At 41.3% G+C, this 10,692-nt stretch overlaps 1 pseudogene; it reads left to right on the plus strand.

The window, feature by feature from the left end:
• Nucleotides 1-1,213: 1,213 nt before the first annotated feature.
• On the plus strand, nucleotides 1,214-3,639 carry LOC102723528 (BCL2/adenovirus E1B 19 kDa protein-interacting protein 3-like; annotated as a pseudogene).
• Nucleotides 3,640-10,692: the final 7,053 nt, after the last annotated feature.

Consider the following 10,692-nt stretch of genomic DNA (forward strand, 5'->3'; position numbering starts at 1 on the left):
TTGTTTTAATATGTGATTGATATATAATTAGAAATAAAGTATATTTCTGATCTAATTCTTCTAAACTCACTGTGTATTTTATGTATTTCTGATCTAATTCTTCTAAACTCACTGTGTATTTTATGTTTGCAGCACATTTTACTTCAAACCAGTCACATTCCAGGTACCCAGTAGCTACATATGGCAGGTGGCTGCCACATTGAGCGCAGCCATGAGGGCTCTCTTCCCTTAGGGAAGTGAGGGCCTGAACACCTCTTTTCTGCTGGAAGTAAGGGACCAGCCTCTCTACCAACTTTTCTCCTCAGGCTCAAGGGTGGGTGGGACAGTGCCCCTAGAGAGAGCAGGGGCTGCAAGCTGAGAGTATCCACGTGAAGACCACGGTTTCCCAGTTGCTGTTTGGTGGAGGTGTGGTGGTCTCCTCGGTTCAGCCAGGTCGGGACTCTTGTGCCACGACCAAAAAGAATGAAGCACACGGATACCAGAGAGTGAGCAAGGCAGAGTAGGATTTATTAAGCAAAAGGAAAGCTCTCAGAAGCAAGAGGGGACCTGAAAGCAGGTTGCCAGAAATGAGGCTGAGGTCTGGGTCTTTTATGTGGCAAGAACAAGTATGTCTTCTGTGGGTTCTGCCCAAATGGGAGGGGTAAAGTTCCTCACTAAGGGTGTTGCATCTGCGCATGCCTGGGATTGGCCACAGTGACTCCATTTTGGTTATTACCCATGAGTGCCTAAGCGAAACTTACACGAGGAGAGCCAAAACCACAATGCTAATGTCATGTTAATGACCTTATAATGAGCTGGGTCAAGTTAAGGACATTTGGGTTGATTTATTGCGCCTGTGCTAAGTTGGGACAGTCCCTTTGGAGCAACATCCTGGCATAAGAGGAAGTTCTTAACCACATTTCTTCCTGCTAGCTACAGATGTGGTGCAGGTGCGGTCCCACACGTGTTTTTCCTCTCCCCAGGCCCTCTCTCTATCTGCCTAACCAGCGTCCGACTGCCTCCTCTATCAAAGGTTCCTCTTCCTTTCAAATATCAGACAGCAAACAAAGAATGTTGGGGCCACACAAGCAGAGAACACCATGTCTTCAGATCTCTTCACAGCCTTGTCCTCCAGAGTTTAGAAGTGGAGGGAAAAGATTAAAGGCAATCTTCTTGTTTTGCTATTTGTCCTTGGACCTAATCTGGACTTAATTTGGACACACAGGCTGTAACTATGTGTTTTTCTCCTTTGGTGTGGGGCACTGTGAGTTTAAGCACCAATCACATGCATCCACATCTAACTGCACTTCTGTTCCCAGAACGAAGGCCGTGAGTGTGAGTTGTCCAGGTCCTTGACAACAAAGAATTGAACAAAATGCACAAAGTAACAAAGGAACAAAACAGAGGGAGGAAGCATCAAAAGCGGAAATTTATTAAGGTAAGAAATAGGGTGGGTATGGGCTTGAGCAAGTGGCTCAAGGACCCAGTTACGAAGTTTTCTGGGTTTTTAGTACTCCTTTTGAGGTCCCTATCAGCTACCACTGATATGGATTAAGGATTTAGTCTGTGGCTAATTAAAGGCTTAGGAGAATTGGCACGCTATGCGGATGAAGGAATGCAGGTGCTTGGCCTGCAGCCACTCCAAGGCACTTTCCCTTTCTACCTGAGAAGTGGTAGAAAGGGGAGGGTTGTAGGGACAGTAGCCTTTGATCCTTTGCTATTCAGGTGTGGGGAGATGGGACTTTTTCTTTTGGTTTAGCTGTTGGAAGTTTGTCTTAATTGGCCTTAGGTTTCCTGCCTCCAGACCTTGGTGTTTTTTCTTTTAGGAAGTCAGCACAAATTGGCCTTAAGTTCTCTGCCTCCATACCCCATTCTCCTGCCTCCCTTCTGTACAAACCATTTGTTATACATAGTTCATCTTAAACTCACCTGGTAATTGGGGAGGCCTTCTGTGTATGCTGGTTGGTTATATGCAAAGAAAAAATAAACTTCCAACATCATGATAGGAGGCAGTTTTGCAACTTAGAGCCAGGTGTCTGTTGCAGGTAAGCCTACCTTACCTTCAGCTGTAAGTGGCTCTAAGTGGCTCTAAGTCACCCTCCATCTCGTACAGAAAGAGTGAGATAGGGTACTATCATCTTGGCTATTTATATTTCTTTTTTTTTCTTTTTTTGAGACAGAGTCTTGCTCTGTCGCCCAGGCTGGAGTGCAGTGGTGCGATCTTGGCTTACTGCAAGCTCTGCCTCCCGGGTTCACGCCATTCTCCTGACTCAGCCTCCCTAGTAGCTGGGACTACAGGTGCCCGCCACCACACCTGGCTAATTTTTTTGTATTTTTAGTAGAGACGGGATTTCACTGTGTTAGCCAGGATGGTCTCGATCTCCTGACCTTGTGATCTGCCCGCCTTGGCCTCCCAAAGTGCTGGGATTACAGGCATGAGCCACCGCGCCCGGCCGGCTATTTATATTTCAAAGCAATGGATCCCTACTCACTAAGCCCTGGGCTGCAGCAATTCTGCTTGCCCTCTCCTGGTGGCCTGTGTCCTCTCCCAAACCCTGCCATCTACCACTGAGGCACAGCCCACAGCTGGCAGCTCACATTTTACATTAGAGAGTGGGGTCCCCACATTTTACATTACAGAGCGGGGTCCCTGAGCTGCAGGAGGAGAGCCTGCAGGGCTCTTGGGTAGAATTGCACTTTTGCAATAAGGGAAACGGGAGCAATGTTTCAGCCTCAGTTTCTATTTATAATACTGACACAAAAAGAATATTGCTGGATACATAGCATGGATCTAGATAGAGCAGCTCCAGGAGTTCTCACGGTGACAGCCCCCCTCACTCACAGACACCATGTGATACTAATAGGGCTTAGACACAAAGCACTGAATTCCCAAAGCATTGAAGAGAAAGACAGCTCTCAGTCTGAGTAAAACCGTATTGAGAGAAGAAAAGAGGTTGAAAGAATCTTAAAGACAAATTCAGATTACATGTAACATTGGTCAAATTGACCAGAAAATATTCTTCCAAAGAAGTTCTTCTCTAAACACCAAAAGTGCACAGCTACTCTCAGCATGAGAAATACAAGTATTATGAGAAAGAGGGCTTATTCTGAGCAGAATTTCCATCTCTGCTGCTCTCCCATCTGCCGGCCGTTGGATTGGGAATCTATACTGGAACACACCTGACAACCTCCACCAGCACTTTTTGATGAAGAATTGGAATTCACTCTATTCACATAGTAGAATTATATCAGAGATTGCAAGATAGCTAACTGAAGAGCTACTATGATTCTTGGGTGGCCACATCACCTGCATTTATTTGTCCGGGAATAGTGGCATTCCTAATTTAGTAAAATAAAAGAATAGACTGTAAAATTATGCTGACCTATAATTATACCTATAGGATCAATTAATAAACATGTCAGGTTAATATCTACTGTAGCAATGTGGTAGTAAATTTTCTTTGGGTATTAAATATAAATGTGTACATATAAATAATTTTGGTATATTAGTCATAATGTATATATTTTAAAAATTATCTGTAAGCTTAATTACAATATTTTATAATACTTTATATTTCAAACAAATTAATGCTTATATTAAAGTTATATAAACTTAATTCAAACAAATTAATACTTATAATAAAGTTATATAAACTTAAAGTTATAATACTTTATATTTCAAACAAATTAATAACATTAATATTAAAATTACTATTTAAGAAGTTTATTCAAAATAAATATTGTGGCCTTATATTCACACAATTGTAGAAAATACTGTTTAATTTACATGGATGCATGTTGTCTACTAAAGACTAAACAAAACTATGCTAATTTTTCTGAAGTAATAAGTAGAAACCAAAGCACAGCTAAAAATTCCACTGCTCAGTTTATACACTAACAGTTCTAGCTTTTGCAGTGTTAAATACTTTAGGCTCCAGATATTATCACCTTTGATATAATCGCCTTGGATGATTAGTTTTCTATTGGAGAAACTTAGTATCTTTTACTCTTCATTACTCTGTATTGCTGAATTGAATCCTATCCTTTGTGCTCAACTTTTGTGTGATCTTAAAGTGAGCTTTATCATTCTAAACAAATCTGTGTCTACTTTAAAAGACTGAAAATGGAAAAAAAAAAAACTTTGCCAAATCAAAAGCAAAAACAAAGTGGTGGTTCTCAGGTCCTAGATAAAGAGAATCCTGAGTCAAAAAAAAGAAAAAAAGGTAAGTTTTATTTAGCTGTTAAAATAATTTATATATATGTGTGTATTTCAAAAAAGCAAACAAAAATGTACATGTAGGCTAAATGCTTTTTAAAGAAAAGCAACAGCTGGATTAAGGACATGATCTTGAACTTCCAGACATCTGAATTTCAGTACACACTGGATTTAGGTATCTAATGGGTGGTCCTGGACACACTGTGTACACGTAAAAGAGAAACTGTGGGGAAAAATGTAGAAAACAGAAAGGAGCCACCAAAAATCCATGAGTGGAGGACAGTAAAAGGTAGGTGGACAGACTGGTTTGTGTTAAAGATAATGGTCTAGAAGGGGCTATACTCAGAATTATTCCTGTGTCCGTGCAGGCAGTTGAGATTATTAACAGGTGGTGGAGAGAACAGGTTGCTGTTGCAGATTCAGTGTCTGAGGGTAGAATTATACTAGGAGACCTATAGGCACTTGTGTAGGTTTTTGGCAAGAAACTAGAAGAGAAGGCACTGTGATGGGATTCCTAAGGGTGGTACTTACTCCTGGGAGGGGCATGGCCACATTAATACCTCCTAGGAGTATGTTTATAAGTGAGTGAAAAGTATGTGATGGTAGCTGTAGGCTAAGGGGGTCTGTTCTGAAGTTTTTAGTCCCCTCTTACCTGGGGAAAAGAACTGAAATCACAGGAGAATGTGCAGTGTGACAGCCTATATACAGGAGAAGAGAGCCTTTCTTCTCCAGACACCCAGTCTTTCTCTAGCTCAGGCCCCTGTCGTCGTCGTCGTCGTCTTCTTCTTCTTCTTCTTCTTCTTCTTCTTCTTCTTCTTCTTCTTCCTCTTGTTCTTCTTCCTCTTCCTCTTCCTTCTTCTTTCTTCTTCTTCTTTTCTTTCTTCTTCTTCTTCTTGTTCTTGTTCTTCTTGTTCTTGTTCTTCTTGTTCTTGTTCTTGTTCTTCTTCTTCTTCTTTGTTCTTCTCCTTCTTCTTCTTCTTCTTTTTTGAGATGGAGTCTCACTCTGTCACTTAGGCTGGAGTGCAGTGGCACTATCTCAGCTCACTGCAACCTCTGCCTCCTGGGTTCAAGTGATTCTCCTGCCTCAGCCTCCTGAGTAGCTGGGACTACAGGCACCTGCCAACATGCCCAGCTAATTTTTGTATTTTTAGTAGAGATGGGGTTTCACCGTGTTGGTCAGGCTGGTCTCAAACTCCTGACCTCATGGTCTGCCCACCTCAGCCTCCCAAAGTGTTGGGATTACAGGCATGAGCCACCATGCCTGGCCGATGTCTTTCTTCTAACACTACATCTGTAGAGTTTGAGGAATACAAAGCAGTTCTCCAACACCAACTAGTTGTTTAACATTTTAAATCTCACACCACCAAAGTCAGCACAGGCCCTAGAGTCCAGAGCTTAGTCCCACAACACTGCTCTTACTGCAGATGCCAGTCAGAAACCACAGGTACCCATACGTACTTCTGAGCTACTAAGAAGTGAGGACTCCCATAACTCCTTTCTCAAGTTTGAGAATTTGATTAAAATACTCACAGAACTCAGCCAAACACTGTACTTGTGTATAACAGTTTGTTATAAAATATACAACACAGGAACAGTTGGAAATGGAACAGGTGTATAGAAGCTACAGAGCCTGGGCAGGCTGGGGACTTGTAGGCAGATGCAGCTGGGGATAGGATGAAAGGGGATTGGGACAAACTTTCTGAGGATACAATTTTTATTGTCCTGGGGTTGTTTATAGACTTTGTCAAATAAAACAAATTCAGATTTAGGGAAGATTTAGATACACATGTAACCTTAATATTATATACCTATTTTTGTAATACTTTATAGTTTATAATGTGTTTTACTGGCAATCTAAGTTGAAATCTAGTTTACTTTTAGCTACAAATACCCTCCAGGAAGGCAAGTTTTATAACTACATATTTTTGTTAAGTTGTATGTGGTACTATAAGGCACAACATGCCTCTACTTTGAAAAGAATAGCCACCAAGTCCTGAATGGAAATGCAAGAATTGTGAAAGAATTCAGTCACCTAATTTGTTGATTGGAGAGGATTTCTTTTTTTTTTTTTTTTGAGACAGAGTTTCACTCTTGTTGCCCAGGCCAGAGTGTAATGGCGCAATCTCAGCTCACTGCAACCTCTCCCTCCCAGGTTCAAGTGATTCTCCTGTCTCAGCCTCCTGAGTAGCTGGGATTACAGGTGTCCGCCACTACACCCGGCTAATTTTTGGTATTTTTAGTAGAGAAGGGGTTTCACCATGTTGGCCACACTAGTCTCAAACTCTTGACCTCAGGTGATCCACCTGCCTCGGCCTCCCAAAGTGTTGGGATTACAGACGTGAGCCACCACTCCCAGCCAAGGATTTCATTTCTGTAGGTACCATCGGCTTTCTCACTTCTCCCTATCTGTTCAACATGTTCCACATTTTTTCCCGCAGCCTTTTCACCAAATCATAACCCAGGAGAATGGTGAAGGCACAGAGAGTGATAAGCTGCTTCATGACAATCTTCATTTCAGAACTAAAAGCAAAAACTGCACTATTTAGGTATCTGTGACTTGTGAACGTTCTGTCTATGAGTTACAACTGTCTATTTTAACTTAGAAGACTCAATCTTCAAAATTAATAATTACTTTTTAGATGTATACAAAAGTAAAATATTCCAACATTTTGGGAGGCCGAGTGTGCAGGGGTGGATCACTTGAGTTCAGGGATTCAAGACCAGCCTGACCAACATGGTGAAACCCTGTCTCTACTAAAGAAGTACAAAATTAGCCGGGCCTGGTGGTGTACTCTGGTAATCCCAGCTACTTGGGAGGCTGAGGCAGGAGAATTGCTTAAACCTGGGAGGCAGAGGTTGCAGTGAGCTGAGATCATGCCATTGCATTCCAGCCTGGGCAACAAGAACAAAACTTTGTCTCAAAAAAAAAAAAAGTAAAATATTGTCCTTAATTTTTATCTTATAAAACTATATTATATTCTATAAACAGTCACATAAATTAATTTTTCTTCAGCCATGTTAAAATGTACTATTGTTTTCACGTCGTAAGAAAGAATAAGTATGGACACAAGAGTTTGTTTTCCTTTTCCAGACTTAAGATTTGTGATATAAAAGTTAACTGAAGTGAGAGCGTTTCAACTGGGTTTCCACATCATTTTCCACAGTGGAATCATCTGAGGCATAGAATTCAGTGCACCCACACATAGCTTTGAAATATAGTCCTCTGACTATGTCTGGAGAATATGCCAAGCTTTCCAACAGCAAGCAAGACTGAGGCATCAGCATAGAGATTAGGCCTGGCTGAAGAGCTCTTGAAATACGTGTGCCTTATACAAAACACCTGGGAATGTCAGACACCATGGTATAAAAATCACCAAAGTAATTAGGCCAGTGACTGTGTCATTGATTGTAACTACCAGTCAATGTCTACCTAATATTTAACTAGTGGCAGCAATGAATATAACATTCAATGATAGATGGAGAGGGTAGAAAGTCTGCTCTCCAAAGAATGTCATCTTTTTCTCAATTCAGAAAAGTCCCTCAATTGCATTTTTCTCAGCTGCTTATACATAATTCAAATCTACTCTCTCGTATGTCTTATGTCACAAGCAATCAAAAATGCAGTTATAGTCAAATTGAAAAGAAACTTGGAGTTGGTAGATCTGGGTTCAAATTTCACCTCTGCCACTTATTATGTGTAGCCTTGATGGGGTTCAGTTCCTTCTTCTGTAAGAAAGGGTTAATACCTACCTCATAGAATTGATGTGTTTTAAATATAGTTGAGCATTCACATAAAGAGGTTTTTGAAATTTTCTTCACTTTTCCGTAAGTTATAGCCAACTCATCTTTTTGTTCCAGTTTCTCCCTCATGATATTTGGTATATATGACTTCCAATGGTGACTGCTTTAAAGGCTGGTGTACATTCAAATGCATATACATGTTCTTGTGTTAAATTTTTAAAAACCAAACTCCTGTCCAGGCGCAGTGGCTCACGCCTGTAATCCCAGCACTTTGGGAAGCCGAGGCAGGCGGATCACCTGAGGTCGGGCGTTCGAGACCAACCTGACCAACATGGAGAAACCCCATCTCTACTAACAACACAAAATTGGCTGGTCATGGTGGTGCATGCCTGTAATCCCAGCTGCTTGGGAGGCTGAAGCAGGAGAATCGCTTGAACCTGGGAGGCAGAGGTTGCAGTGAGCTGAGATGGCACCATTGCACTCCAGCCTGGGCAACAAGAGTGAAACTCCATCTCAAAAACAAAACAAAACAAAACAAAACAAAACTCCTTTTGTTGCTTTACACCTTCTCTCACATGGTATGATATACTGATAACACCTACACTTTTTTTGGAAGTGTTTTCATATACTTCCTTTGGACCAATAAAAATGAACCTTCTGAGATGTGGAGGATATGGGCTATTACCCCAATTTTAAAGGAAAAAAAAAGTTCAGTCAGAAGTTGAATGTCCCCATGAGGAGTAACAGAGGTCATTCCTGATTAATCTAATTTAATCTTTATAATTCAAGGATCCTCCCAGCCAAAACAATCTCAGGTATCCGATTTTATGCAATTCATTTTGTGAGTAACATCACAGAAGGATTGAGTAGGATACTGGTTTAACCATGGGCATAACATTTTTTTTTTCAGTATTGAAGAGTAAAGCTAAAGTTTGTTCACTAAGATGTTTAATTCAAGCCCCAGTAACAGAGATACACAACTGCCAAAGTCAGCTCTTAGGGGTGTTGTACCAGGAGGTGGTGTAAACAGATCTGGACCCAGAGAATTAGAAAGAAAAGGCAGAATGAAGTTCACAACAGCAGCTGCTACATTTAAAAATGTTAGAGCTGTTTTACAATTATTTTCACTTCCCTAGCTTTCTGAGCCTGTAAGTCTCTCTTCCCTATTTCAACATTCATCCTAAAGAGTTTTAAATTAGTATGTGAAACCAAAAGGTCAGAGTGTTTTAGTCTGATACAAATCATCCCTAACTAAAATGATTCCAGTATGTGCTTCCATTTCATTAAAACTGTTCTGTGAAAATTTGGATATCCTCAGGAATGCATTATTACAGAATAATTTAAAGCATTAGCTATGCTTCATCTGCATGCTACTATATTTTAGAATCTCATTTTTAGGAATTGCTATATAAATTGATTACATATTCTTTTGAAGAACCTCAGTAATAGGAAATCTATGGCCTCTGAGAGTGGATTTACTTTTTGATAACAGTCAAATCCTATGACTATTGTGTAAAGGTGAGGGACCCAGCTAGGCAATTCTGCTTGGGGTTAAAATAATAATAAATGTACCTGAAAATAAGGAGGTTGACTTCTTATACAGCAGCTACACACCAGCTCCTCAAACACACCTACCTCAGGACCTTTGAGCTTAATGCTCTCACTTTGTGGAATCTTTTTATAGCATGTTCTTTTTCACTGATATGAGTTACAGGTCACTTAAAAAAGGCCTTTCCTGAACACCCTAATGGAGAGTGGTCCACAATCACTCTCAACAACCACATTTGTCTAAATCAATGTCATGCTTGCTTTTTTATCAACTGTTATCACCATTTATTAATTTTTTGTTATTTTTCATCTCCTCTTCTGACCCATGCTGTCCAACACAGTAACCAGTAGATTAAAATTCCAATTAATTGTAATTCAGAAACTTAAAGAAAAAAATGGAAAAATTGTATTTCACCAAAAACAACTTTGTTCTTTGAAGGAAGCATTTAAAAGAGTAAAAAATGGTTTTCTGGTTCCAAGATGGCTGAATAGGAACAGCTCCAGTCTACAGCTCCCAGCATGAGTGACGCAGAAGACAGGTGATTTCTGCATTTCCAACTGAGGTACTGGGTTCATCTCACTGGGGCTTGTCAGACAGTGGGTGCAGACCACAGAGTGTGAGCTGAAGCAGGGTGGGGCATCACCTCACCTGGGAAGCACAAGGGGCTGGGGAATTCCCTTTCCTAGCCAAGGGAAGCTGTGACAGATGGTACCTGGAAAATCGGGACACTCCCACCCTAATACTGTGCTTTTCCAGTGGTCTTAGCAAATGGCACACCAGGAGATTATATCCTGTGCATGGCTTGGAGGGTCCTATGACCACAGAGCCTCGCTCACTGCTAGCACAGCAGTCTGAGATTGAACTGCAAGGCAGCAGCAAGGCTGGGGGAGTGGTGTCTGTCATTGCTGAGGCTTGAGTAGGTAAACAAAGCGGCCAGGAAGCTCGAACTGTGTGGAGCCCACCACAGCTCAAGGAGGCCTGCCTGCCTCTGTGGACTCCACCTCTGGGGAAAGGGCATAGCTGAACAAAAGGCAGCAGAAACTTCTGCAAACTTAAACATCCCTGTGTGACAGCTTTGAAGAGAGTAGTGGTTCTCCTAGCACGGAGTTTGAGATCTGAGAGTGGACAGACTGCCTCCTAAAGTGGGTCCCTGACCCCCGAGTAGCCTAACTTGGAGGCACCTCCCAGTAGAGGCTGACTGACACCT

Source organism: Homo sapiens, unplaced genomic scaffold (genome assembly GCF_000001405.40).
Source record: "Homo sapiens unplaced genomic scaffold, GRCh38.p14 Primary Assembly HSCHRUN_RANDOM_CTG21".
Lineage (NCBI taxonomy): Eukaryota > Metazoa > Chordata > Mammalia > Primates > Hominidae > Homo > Homo sapiens.